General features: G+C 50.0%; 1 protein-coding gene across 5 annotated transcripts, besides 2 other annotated features; it reads right to left on the minus strand.

Moving 5' to 3' along the window:
• Positions 1–560: 560 nt before the first annotated feature.
• On the minus strand, positions 561–4,131 carry HDHD3 (haloacid dehalogenase like hydrolase domain containing 3). Of its 5 annotated transcripts, none has more exons than NM_001371923.1 (3): positions 4,071–4,131; positions 2,598–2,712; positions 561–1,674 (listed from the first exon to the last, which is right to left on the minus strand). In NM_001371923.1, the coding sequence occupies exon 3, from the start codon at positions 1,497–1,499 to the stop codon at positions 744–746; it is 756 nt and encodes a 251-aa protein (NP_001358852.1). In that variant the 5' UTR covers positions 1,500–1,674; positions 2,598–2,712; positions 4,071–4,131; the 3' UTR covers positions 561–743. The 5 variants fall into 5 exon arrangements, with proteins under 5 accessions (NP_001358852.1, NP_001291439.1, NP_001291438.1 ...); NM_001304510.2 differs by having other exon boundaries at positions 567–1,674; positions 2,598–2,671; positions 3,874–4,131; NM_001304509.2 differs by having other exon boundaries at positions 567–1,674; positions 3,874–4,131.
• Positions 3,983–4,502: a silencer, noted in NCBI's record as "silent region_20202". NCBI's record gives its function as "represses an Ori minimal core promoter by ATAC-STARR-seq in GM12878 lymphoblastoid cells {active_cell/tissue: GM12878}" and the evidence as "EXISTENCE:reporter gene assay evidence [ECO:0000049][PMID:35858748]".
• Positions 8,238–8,297: an enhancer, noted in NCBI's record as "active region_28837". NCBI's record gives its function as "activates an Ori minimal core promoter by ATAC-STARR-seq in GM12878 lymphoblastoid cells {active_cell/tissue: GM12878}" and the evidence as "EXISTENCE:reporter gene assay evidence [ECO:0000049][PMID:35858748]".

A 12,788-nucleotide genomic window follows, 5' to 3' on the forward strand; every position in this document is an offset into this window, starting at 1 on the left:
AGCTGTGACCTCGGGCAGGCTGCTTAACCTCTGAATTTCAGTTTCCTCATTTGTAAAGTTGTGGAGGGGGTCAAACCACCTAGGCCCAACGAGGTAGCTTTGAGGGTTATATGTGCATGGAGGTAACTCAGCACCTTACCTAACACGGGGCAGGCATATGTCAACAGGATTTCTTCTCATGACTGTCATGGGGTTCCTTGTTTAAATTCTCCCCTTCATACTATGTGGTGCTAATGGACAGTGTCCCTACAGAATGGCTTAGCATCCTGCTTTTCAAACTAAGCACTGACCCCAGGCTTCCAGAGGGTATTTTCAGAAGCTGAAAGAGAGACCTTAGCACCTCTGCTTCAACTCCAGCAGTTTTTCAGGGTCTGTTTTTAGTTTTGCATAATGGGGTTTCAGATCGCCCATAACTAAAGGACTCTGCTGCTAAAACCAAGTTTGAAAGTGCCTGGTTTTGAAGCTAGTGGGGCCCTCTGTGAATCCTTTGGATGTGAAGTCGACTCCTAGTGGAAAAGGGACACAGGTGTGAATGAGAATGAGGGAGGGCAGAGGCTAGGAGCTGGTTAGTGGGGGAAGGGTGAGAGCTCAGCACTCACTGCTTTATTATCACAGTAGGTGACAAAGGCCGCAGGGAGAGGGGGAAAGGTCCAGAGCTGTGGAGAAAGAAGGGGCTCCCTGTCTCCAGGGTTTGTTTAAGGTTTTCTCCATGGCCTAGGGCCCAGCCACTTCCCTCACTGGCCTCAAAGCCCTGGAGTTGAGCCCTCTAGGCAGTCAAGGGCAGGCAGGAGATGGGCCAGAGAGGGGAGGATGTGTTCTTTAGGTACAGAATCCCTGACCACGGGGTCCAGTGCCTGTGGGCCAACCACCAGGAAGCTGTGCATGCCCACAGCCCGAGGCCCCTGGTAATCGCAGAGGTAATTATCCCCAACATGGGCTGCCACTACTGGTTCCATATGAGCAAGCCGCAAGGCCTCCTGGAAAATGCGGGGGTCCGGCTTGGGCCAGCCAGCAGCCTCGGAGGTCAGCACAAAGTCGAAGTGTTCACGCAGGCCAAGGCCCCCCAGGATGCCCTCTAGCCGTCGGTCAAAGTTGGAGATCACTGCCAGTCTCAGACCCCGTGTGCGGCACTCCCTCAGGGTGTCCTCAGCCCCATCCAACACCTGCCAGGTGCAGGGGTGGCTGAAGTCTTTATAAAGCTGTTCAGCGATGGGGGCTACAGCCTGAGCATCCTGGACACCCGCCAGGTGGAAGGTCTGCAGGACCACATCCAGCCACCACTGGCGGGAGGTTAGGCCGTGGCTCAGGCCGTAGTTGGGGAAGCTGTGGCTCTGAGCCCTGTATGCCTGCCTGAAGCCTTGTTCCAGGGCTGAGGGCTCCACCTCCAGCCCATGGGCCCGGGCCTTGGTGGCATAGGCCTCCCCTAAGGGGTGGCGGAGCCTGAGCAGCGTGTCCTTCACATCCCACGTCAGCAGTCGTATCTGCAGCCGGTGTGCCATGGAGGAGGCCAAGTCCACCCCAGTTCTGCCTCAGGTCCCACGGTGGGTCCCAGGGGAAGCTGAGCTGGATAAGACCACCTCTGCGCAACCTAACAATCACCTCTTTCCAGGCCTTGTGGGTCAGATTTGCTGGCTAACATGAAGCACTTGGGAAATGTCTTCACAGCACAAGATCCTAGAATGAAAAATAGCAGGTAAGGTGGAAGCTCAGGCCCTGACATCAGACAGACTGGGTTCAAATTCTGGTGCTGCCAATGGTGTGACCCTAGGAAAGTCACTCTGAATCCACAACAAATTTCTGAGCACCTTTTTGAGCTAGCTGCTAGCATATGGGATAGATTTCCAGCCCTTAGGGCATTTACAGGCACTGAAGAACAGGGATACGGATATTAGGCAAAGAACTATACAAACACTTAAATATAATGAAGTCAATAGATACCGTAAGGATCTAAATCCAGGGACCGCATCTAGTCTGTGTAGTTAGGGAATGTCATAAGCAAGTGAAGTTTCTTTTTATTTATTTTTTTTAATTTTTTTGTGAGACAGGGTCTCTCTCTGTCTCCCAGGCTGGAGTGCATGGCTCATTGCAGCCTCGATCTCCCAGGCTCAGTCAATCCTCCTGCTTTAGCCTCCCTAGTAGCTGGGGCTACAGGCACGTGCCACCATGCCCGGCTAATTTTTGAACTTTTTGTAGAGATGTGGGGTGGTGGGGCGGGGTGGGTCTCACTATGTTGCCCAGGCTGCTCTCCAACCCCTGGACTCAAGTGATCCCCCAGCCTTGGCCACCCAAAGTACTGGGATTACAGGCATGAGCCATCACTCCCAGCCCTGCAAGTCAAGTTTCAATGGAGATCAGAAGAATGAATGTGCAAGAAGCAGAGGTAGGTGAGTGCTCCCGTCAGTGGAAATAGCAAGTGCAAAGGCCCTGAGGCAGGGCAAGTAGACAGAGGCCAGCTGTCTGGCACACAGGACACAATTATTATGATTGCTATTATCATTATTAGGGATGTCAAAGACAGAAGGGGCCTTGCAGAGCATATGAACGATATCTTGGCTGCTGGGCAGAGTAGACTGAGCCAGAAAGGGGCAGGTACTTACCCAAGGTCACAGTGAGTCAGTGGCACAGCCAGGACCAGAACCCAAACTTCCAGACTCTCTGGCCAGTTCTTCCACTGTACCATGAGATATATTTGGATTTTAAAAATTGGTGAACCTGTACAGCACAGGAGAAAAGACAGGACACAGCAGGCTGTCTGTCTCTAGCCCTCTCTGAACCCCAACTTTTCCATCTTTACTGGAGGTAATAACACTGGCCTAGGAGGAGAGCTGATGAGAGAACTGACTCAAGGCACAAGAAACAAGTGACTCAGCCTGCTATCCAGAGGCTGGTGCAGCTTCTTTCCCCAGACAGAGCTGATCCCAGACAAGGCCGTCCCCTTGAAACCTGAGGGGCCAGAGTTCAAAGTACGGCTAAGTTGATACTTAGGGAAGGGCGTCACTGGTAAATCTGGGGGAGCCTTGGAGGAAGTTTGTCCAGGAAATGAATTAAGGAGACTCATCCAAAGATCCTCTCATTTTGCAGGTGGGTAGACAGAGACCCAGTGAGGGGCAGTAATTTACCCCCAAATCACACAGGGAGTCACATTGGCACAGCTAAGACTAGAGCAGAGGGCTCTGGCTCCTGACCCACGGCTTTTTTTTTTTTTTTTTTTTTTTTTTGAGGCGGAGTTTCGTTCTTGTTGCCCAGGCTGAAGTGCAATGGCGCGATCTCGGCTCACTGCAACCTCCGCCTCCCAGGTTCAAGCGATTCTCCTGCCTCAGCCTCCCAAGTAGCTGGGATTACAGGCATGCGCCACCATCCCCGGCTCCTTTTTTTTTTGTATTTTTAGTAGAGACGGGGTTTCTCCATGTTGGCCAGGCTGGTCTCGAACTCCCGACCTCAGCCTCCCAAAGTGTTAGGATTACAGGCGTGAGCCACTATACCCGGCCGGCTTTTTTTCTTTTTTTTTTTTTTTGAGACAGAGTCTCACTCTGTCACCCAGGTGTACAGTGGTGCGATCTCGGCTCACTGCAACTTCCGCCTCCCGGATTCAAGCGATTCTCCTTCCTTAGCCTCCAGAGTAGCTGGGACTACAGGCGCGCGCCACCACACCTGGCTAATTTTTGTATTTTTAGTGGAGACGGGGTTTCAACTATGTTAGCCAGGCTGGTCTCGAACTCCCGAACTCGTGATCCTCCCCCGCCCCACCCCGCCCCCCGGCCTCCCAAAGTGCTGGGATTACGGTAAAGGCGTGAGCCACCGCGCCCGGCAGGGCTTTTTCGATTTCTAAAACCGCGGGTTTGGGGCTCTGCGCTGCAGGCACGAACTGCTCACCTTTTCTCCCCACCTCCAGGGCTCGGGAAAGGCGAAGTCCAGGAGCCCGGACCTGACGCAGAATGTCTATAGCTGCCGTCGGCAGCGTGAGCTGGGGCGGCGGTCCTAGGGGCCTTGGCCGCGGCCGACCCCTTGGGTCCCCTTCTCAGCTGTAGGGCGTCCACGGCTCCGGGCCGGTTCCTGGGCCCAGGACCCACCTGACTCACAAGGAAGCAGATTGAAAACGCAGCCGCAAGGCCCGCGAGCTCGGGCGGAGGTGCGCAAGCGCCGGGCGGTGGGGCGGGGATCGCGCGGGCCGCCCCTCCCTACCATCCCGACCCGCCTCTGTCCCCGCCCCGTCCCCGCCCTTATCCCCCTCACCTTCGCCCTCTCCCGCCCCATCTCCCGTCGCCCTCGCCGTCCCCTCTCCCTCCTTCGTCTCACTGTGCACCTCTCTGCGCCCCTGTCACCCGCCTTCACTGCGCGCCTCCGTTACCCTGCACCATCTACGCCCCTTATTCCCTCCCCGCACCCTCTGAGGTTCCCCAGCCCGCACCCTTCCGCTCCGCAGCCCCCGTTACCAGCACCTTCTCCGCCCTGTCTGCGCACCCCCTGCCCGCCACACCGCCGCTCCTCACCGCTGTCTCCGCTCCCCATCCCCAACCCCGGCTCCTGGCCTCCTTTGGATCGGGAAACCCCCGAGAAGTACCCAGGTTGAGTGGGAGGAGGGGAGTTGGGACCCAGCCTGGCTTGCTTAGTGTTGTGTGAACCTGGGCAAGGCCCAGCCCCTCTCTGGTCTCAGGGTCCCCAGTTGGTATTGGAGGGAATTGCTTTCAGTTGGAAACTTGTTAAATCCAAGATAACTTGGTGAGGGTAGAGTCCGCTGCAGTAACCTGCTTTTTTATTCTTTCTCTTTTTTTTTTTTTGAGACGGAGTCTCCCTCTGTCGCTCAGGCTGGAGTGCAGTGGCGCGATAGCCCACTGCAACCCCCGCCTCCCAGTTTCTTGCGATTCTCCTGCCTCAGACTCCCCAGTAGCTGGGATTACAGGTGTGTGCCACCACACCCAACTAATTTTTGTATTTTTAGTAGAGACAGGGTTTCGCCGTGTTGGCCTGGCTAGTCTTGAACTCCTGACCTCAGGTGATCCGCCCACCTCAGCCTCCCAAAGTGCTGGGATTACAGGCATGAGCCACCGCACCTGGCCTCTTTTTGTTTTTAAGAACCCTGTGGTACCATCCTGGCTAACACGGTGAAACCCTGTCTCTGCTAAAAATACAAAAAATTAGCCGGGCATGGTGGCAGGTGCCTGTAGTCCCAGCTACTCGGGAGGCTGAGGCAGGAGAATGGCATGAACCCGGGAGGCGGAGCTTACAGTGAGCCAAGATTCTGCCACTGCACAATATTTGCCTGGGCAAAGAGCGAGACTGTGTCCCCAAAAAAAAAAAAAAAAAAAAAGATCCCTGTGGTAAGAGCCTGGAATCCTAACCACTAGACCACCAGGGAGCTTTTTTATTCTTTTGAAGAATAAAAAAAGAGTTTTATCTTTGTTTGCAAAAGTAATGTATGTTGGCTGGGCGCGGTGGCTCACGCCTGTAATGCCAGCACTTTGGGAGGCTGAGGTGGGTGGATCACCTGAGGTCAGGAGTTCAAGACTAGCCTGGCCAACACGGTGAAACCCCGTCTCTACTAAAAATACAAAATTAGGCGAGGTGGTTCATGCCTGTATTCCCAGCTACTTGGGAGGCTGAGGAAGGAGAATCGCTTGAACCGGGGAGGTGGAGGTTGCAGTGAGCCAAGATCAGGCTACTGTATTCCAGCCTGGGTAACAAGAGCAAAACTCCATCTCAAAAAAATAAAAAAATAAAAAAATAATAAATAAATAAGGTATGCATGTAATGCATGTTAGTCTCAAAAAACTAAAAAATACAAACATATGAGAGTTGGCCATGCAGAGGGGAAGGATCTGAGTGATGGTTAAGGGACCCCCTGATGCAAAGGCCTCCAGGCAAGAAAGTTTTTTTTCCGAACCAAAGAGACACTGAGGAACTATAGGAATGTTGCTAGCCAGGGGGTTTGGGCCAAAGAGGCTGGGGAGGTACCGGAGGGGAAGCTTTGAGATACTTCTGTGCCTGTGCTCTGTTCCTCTTTAGTCTCATCACCTTGCACTATGACCTTAGGCAAGACAGGTCATAAGACAGCCCCCACCACCCAGGCCCCTTTGAGAGGGTCTTGCCGCATACCCTGGAGGAAGGAACACTGCACAGAGAGGCCAAGAAGAATCTACACAGATGGGTCTTGGTGGGTTTCTCTATTCAGTCTATTAGCGTTTTGTGCAATCCTGTTTCTACATGTGAAGGGGTGGCCTGCCCCTCCACACCTGTGGGTATTTCTCATCAGGTGGGACGAGAGACTGAGAAAAGAAATAAGACACCGAGACAAAGTATGGAGAAAGAACAGTGGGCCCAGGAGACCGGCGCTCAGCATACGGAGGACCTGCTCTGGCACTGGTCTCTGAGTTCCCTCAGTATTTATTGATTACTATTTTCACTATCTCAGCAAGAAGAATGCGATAGGAGAGCGGGCTGATAGTGAGGAGAAGGTCAGCAAGAAAACATGTGAGCAAAGGAATCTGAGTCACAAATAAGTTCAAGGGAAGGTACTATGCCTGGATGTGCACACAGGCCAGATTTATGCTTCTCTCCACCCAAACATCTCAGTGGAGAAAAGAATAACAAAGCAGCATTGCTGCCAACATGTCTCGCCTCCCGCCACGGCGCGGTTTTTCTCCTGTCTCAGAATTGAACAAATGTATAATCGGGTTTTATACCGAGACGTTCAGTTTCAGGGGCAGGCAGGAGACAGAGGCCTTCCTCTTATCTCAACTTCAAGAGGCCTTCCTCTTTTACTAATCCTCCTCAGCACAGACCCCTCGCGGGTGTCGGGCTGGGGGACGGTCAGGTCTTTCCCATCCCACGAGGCCATATCTCAGGCTGTCACATGGGGAGAAACCTTGGACAATACCAGGCTTTCCAGGGCAGAGGTCCCTGCGGCTTTCCGCAGTGTATTGTGCCCCTGGTTTATCGAGAATGGAGAATGGCGATGACTTTTACCAAGCATACTGCCTGTAAACATTTTGTTAACAAGGCACATCCTGCACAGCCCTAGATCCCTTAAACCTTGATTCCATACAACACATGTTTCTGTGAGCTCAAGGTTGGGGCAAAGTTACAGATTAACAGCATCTCAGGGCAAAGCAATTGTTCAGGGTACAGGTCAAAATGGAGTTTCTTATGTCTCCCTTTTCTACATGGACACAATAACAGTCTGATCTCTCTTTTCCCTACATACACGGCCATGTACACTTCGTTGAACCTAAGCATAAAAATGGACAGTTTCCTCTGTATCTGTGGCTCTTCATTCTGAAGGCTCCCATGTCACAAAAAAACTATGATCAAATAAATGTATATGCTTTTTCTCCTATTAAAAAAAATACAGACATATTCAGGGTTAGGCATAGTGGCTCATGCCTGAAATCCTAGCACTTTGGAAGGCTAAGGTGGAAGGATCCCTTGAGCTCAGGGGTATGAGACCAGCCTAGGAAACAAAGTGAGACCCCATCTTGTTAAAAAATAATAACAGGCTGGGTGTGGTGGCTCACGTCTGTAATTGCAGCACTTTAGGAGGCCGAGACCAGTGGATTACTTGAGGTCAGGAGTTTGAGACCAGCCTGACCAACATGGTGAAACCCCATCTCTACTAAAAATACAAAAATTAGTGGGGCATGGTGGCAGGTGCCTGTAATCCCAGCTACTCGGGAGGCTGAGGCACAAGAATTGTTTGAACCTGGGAGGCAGAGGTTGTAGTGAGCTGACATCACAGCATTGCACTCCAGCCTGGGTGACAGAGCAAGACTCTGTCTCAAAAAATAATAATAATAATGCAAAATACAAACGTGTACAAAATAAAAAGCCAGCCCCCCACCAACACCCAACCTCATTCATTGACCACCTAACATCTGTGGGCTCTGTGTCCCCTGTCCTTCTCTGAGGATTCAGTGGGAAACAAGGTGGTTCCTGCCTGCATGGGGCATGGGAGGGGCAGACAACCATTGAGTAGATAAATAAACAAAGTGATTTCAGAGAGAGAAGTGGAAGCGGTAAAAACAATCATTTTATGAACAGTGACAGGGTATCTCTTTGGATGAGGTGGTCAAGGAAGGAACAAAGATCTGAATGGTGAGAAGGAGGTTGTCAGGTTAAGATCAAGGAAAGTACTCCAGGTGAGGAACCGGAAAGAAGGGTGTGGGGCCTCAGCCTGCTTACTGAACAAGGGCAGTAGCCTTGGGGCAGGGAGAGAAGGGCTTCCCCACCCCATCTCACTCCCCAGGGATTGCTGAGGTGACAGTTTTGGTTATGCTATGACACAGTTTTCTAGCAGCACACAAACATGTATCTAATTTTCTTTCTTTCCTCTCTTTCTTTCTTTCTCTTCCTCCTTCCCTCCTTTCTTTCTTTTTTTTTCATTCTTTCTCTCTGTCTCCCTCCCTCTTTTCTCTCTCTCCTTTCTTTCTCTCCCTCCCTCCCTCTTCTCTCTCTCTCTTTCTCTCTCTCTCTCCTTCCTTCCTTTCTCCCTCCCTCCTCCCTTCCCTTCCCTTTCTTTCTTTCCTTTCTTCTTCCCTCCCTCCCTTCCTCCCTTCCTTCCTCCCTCCCTCCCTCCCTCTCTCTCTCCCTCCCTCTCTCTCTGTCTCTTTCTCTCTTTCTTCCATTTTTGAGACGGAGTTTCACTCTTGTTGCCCAGGCTGGAGTGCAATGGTGCCATCTCAGCTCACTGCAACCTCCACCTCCTGGGTTCCAGCGATTCTTCTGCCTCAGCCTCCCGAGTAGCTGGGATTACAGGTGCCTGCCACCACGCCCAGATAATTTGTGTATTTTAGTAGAGACAGGATTTCATCATGTTGGCCAGGCTGGTCTTGAACTCCTGACCTCAGGTGATCCACCTGCCTCAGCCTCCCGAAGTGCTGGGATTACAGGCATGAGCCACCGAGCCTGGCCCTTTTTTTTTTTTTTTTTTTTTGTGAGACAGAGTCTTACTCTGTCACCCAGGCTGGAGTGCAGTGATGCGATCTGGGGTCACTGCAACCTCTGCCTTCCAGGTTCAAGCAATTCTCCTGCCTCAGCCTCCTGAGTAGCTGGGATTACAGGTGTGCGCCACTGTGCCCGGGTAATTTTTTGTATTTTTAGTAGAGACGAGGTTTCGCCGTGTAGCCAGACTGGTCTAGAACTCCTGACCTCAACTGATCCACCCACCTTGGCCTCCCAAAGTGCCGGGATTATAGGCATGAGCCACTGTGCCTGGCCTAATTTTCTTCCTTTCAACTCTTAAAAACAAAAAAACAAAACTTTCTCCTATGTTCCAAGTTGGTCTGTTCACTGGGTTCAGGCCTGGGAAGAAACACAAAGTGCAGAGTCACAGACTTTGGACCTGCAAGAGAGAGCCCGACTCACTTGCAAAACTGGTTTTGTGTTATAAGCATGAAGCAGAAGTGGGGGTGGGAAGGGCAACTGGGAGACCAGAGGTTCAACTGCATTTCACAGAATCCAAGAATGTCTGATACTGTCTACTTTTCAGGGTCACCGAAAACCTAACCCCTTAGGTTCTGATCCCAGCTCTGCCATCTGTCTGTCTGTGAGCTCTCCATTCAATTGTTTTTCTCTCTGAGCCTCAGTATCCCAATATGCAAAATGTGAATTTTCCCAAAGTGAACATACCCATGCAACCAGCACCCAGACCAAGAAAAAGAACAATTTCCAGAACCCTCCACAGCCTGTCCACTTCCAGTTACTTACTACCCAAAAGGGTAACTATCTTGACTTCAAACTGCATAGTTAAACTTTATTTGTTTTTGAACTGTATATAAACAGAATAATATAGCATGTATTTTTTATGCCTTGCTTCTTTTGCTCAAAATTGTGTTTGATACATCTGTGTTGCTATGTGTAGTTGTAGTTAATCCATTCTCACACCTTTAATATTCTATTATATAAATAGACCACATTTTACTGTTGATGAACATTTGGGTTATCTCCAATTTTGTTTATTACACTTCTTTTTTCTTTTTTTTGGAGACAGAGTCTCGCTCTGTTGCCTAGGTTGGAGTGCAGTGGCGCCATCTTGGCTCACTGCAACCTCCCACCTCCCAGGTTCAAGCAATTCTCCTGCCTCAGCCTCTCAAGTAGCTGGGATCACAGGTGCCTGCCACCACGCCCGGATAATTTGTGTATTTTAGTAGAGATGGGATTTCATCATGTTGGCCAGGCTGGTCTTGAACTCCTAAGCTCAGGTGATCCACCCACCTCAGCCTCCCAAAGTGCTGAGATTACAGGCATGAGCCACCATGCCCGGCCTTATTACATATATTATAAAATGCTGCTATGAATGCTGTTGAACATGTGTCTTATGAACATAGGTAATGTTGGGTAAATACTGTTGGGTAATACCTAGGTGTGGAATCACAGGGTCATAAGGTATGCATATGTTCAGCTTTGGTAAATAGGGCCAGACATTTCTTTTTCTTTTTTTTTTTTTTTTGCAGACAGGATCTCCCTCTGTAGCCCAGGCCGGAGTGCAGGCCAAACATGGCTCACTGCAGCATCCACCTCCTGGACTCAGGCAATCCTCCTGCCTCAGCCTCCCAAGTAGCGGGAACCACAGACATGTGTCACCACGCCCCGCTAATTTTATTTTTGTTTTTATTTTTTAGTATAGACATGGTCTCACTATGTTGCCCAGGCTGGAGCTAGACATTTTGTTTTCTTTCTTTCTTTCTTTCTTTCTTTTTTTTTTGTTCTTGTGGAGCCAGGCATTTTGAAAGGGTGTACCAGTCATATCTGAGAGTTCCAGTTGTTCTGCATTCTCAACACTTGACATTGTCCCATTGTCCTTTTAGTATTAGGCATTTTCTTTTTCGAGTCTCCCTCTGTTGCCCAGGCTGGAACGCAGTGGCACGATCTCAGCTAACTACAACCTCCGCCTTCTGGGTTCAAGCAATTCTCCTGCCTCAACCTCCCGAGTAGCTGGGATTACAAGCGCACACCACCACACCTGACTATTTTTGTGTGTGTGTGTTTTTAGTAGAGACGGGGTTTCACCATGTTGGCCAGGCTGGTCTCAAACTCCTGACCTCGTGATCCGCCCACCTCGGCCTCCCAACGTGCTGGGATTACAGGCATGAGCCACCGCACCCAGCCAGTATTAGGCATTTTTGTGGATGTATTGTGGTATCTCATTGCGGTTTTAACTTGAATTTTCTCCACTAATGAAGATAACACCTTTTCATATATGTATTGGTTAAGTTTTCATTTTTTATTTACATAGCCACACATGAATATATCCTTGTTACATATAATACATGAATAGAAATAATACATATAAAGCTAAAGTCCCTCTAAAACGAATCCCTTCACTAGTTTTATTTTTAATTGAAAAACATTTTTTTTGTAGCAATGGGGTCGTGCTTTGTTGCCCAGGCTGGTCTTGAACTCCTGGTTTCAAGCAATCCTGCCACCTCGGCCTCCTAAAGTGCTGGGATTACAGGTGTGAGCCACCATGCCCAGCCCCTTCCCGAGTTTTGAGCACTGGGCTTGGAGTTAAGAGACCTGAATTCCAGCCTTGGTCTGCCACTGACTAGATTGCTGTCTAATTTTGGACAGGTCACCTCTCTGGGTCTGTCTCCCCATCTATAAAATCAGAGTGTTTAACTAGATAGTCTCTAAGGATCTTTTTTCTTTAATATTCTGACCACTGTTTCTGTGATCCCAAGAACCTCCATTAGGTAAAAATGGCCATTTGCCTTACTATCCATTCTCTCCATCTTCCTTAGTAACTGAACTCCCGAGTTTTAGTTGAGCATATGGCTGGCCCACTAGACTATTTCCAGCCTCCCTTACAACTGGGCATGACCATGTGACTAATTTGAGACAAGGGTGTGTAGACAGAAATGATGTGTGCAACTTTTGGGTCATGACTTTATAAAGAAGGGTCATGCCCTCCATTTGCTCTTCTCTTCCTGCTGGCTGGAAAGAGGACCTGATGATGGGAACTGGCCCAGCCATTTTTTTGTTTTGTTTTGGTTTTGAGATAGGGTCTCACGCTGTTTCCCATGCTAGAGTGCAGGGGCGCAATCACCACTCACTGCATCCTTGACCTCCTGGGCTCGCTCCTGCCTCAGCCTCCTGAGTAACTGGGACTACAGGCATGCACGACCACACCCAGATAATTCTGTATTTTTTGTACAGACGTGGTTTCCTCATGTTGCCTAAGCTAGTCTCAAACTCCTGGACTTGAGTGATCCACCCATCTCAGCCTCCCAAAGTGTTGGGATTACAGGTGTGAGCCACTGTGCCCAGCACCAGCCATCTTTGTTCATGAGATGGAGGCCAAGATGTGTTGATGATGACAGAACAAGGCAAGAGCTGAGACCCCTCACAACATATTGCTGACATATCAGCCCTGGATTGCTTAGAAGTAAATTTTCATCTCAAGCTATCATTATTTTGGCTTTTGTTATATCCACTGAACCTGAATCCTGATTAATACAGAGTGACTGGAGAATGACTTTTTTTTTTTTTTTTTTTTGAGACAGAGTCTGACTCTCTGTTGCCCAGGATGGGGTGCAGTGGCATGATCTCGGCTCACTGCAACCTCTGCGTCCTGTGTTCTAGTGATTCCTCTGCCTCAGCCTCCCAAGCAGGTGGGACTACAGGCGCCTGCCACCATGCCCGGCTAATTTTTTGTAGTTTTAGTCTAGATGGGGTTTTGCCACGTTGGCCAGGCTGGTCTTGAACTCCTGACCTCAAGTGATCCGCCTGCCTTGGTCTCCCAAAGTGCTGGGATTACAGGTGTGAGCCACCACGCCCAGCTCCAAGAGTGACTTTAG

This window comes from Homo sapiens, chromosome 9, assembly GCF_000001405.40.
Source record: "Homo sapiens chromosome 9, GRCh38.p14 Primary Assembly".
In the NCBI taxonomy this organism is placed as follows: Eukaryota; Metazoa; Chordata; class Mammalia; order Primates; family Hominidae; genus Homo; species Homo sapiens.

Excerpts from the sequence above, each read along its gene's own strand:
- HDHD3 (NM_001371923.1), bottom strand. The coding sequence starts at position 1,499 with ATGGCACACCGGCTGCAGATACGACTGCTGACGTGGGATGTGAAGGAC.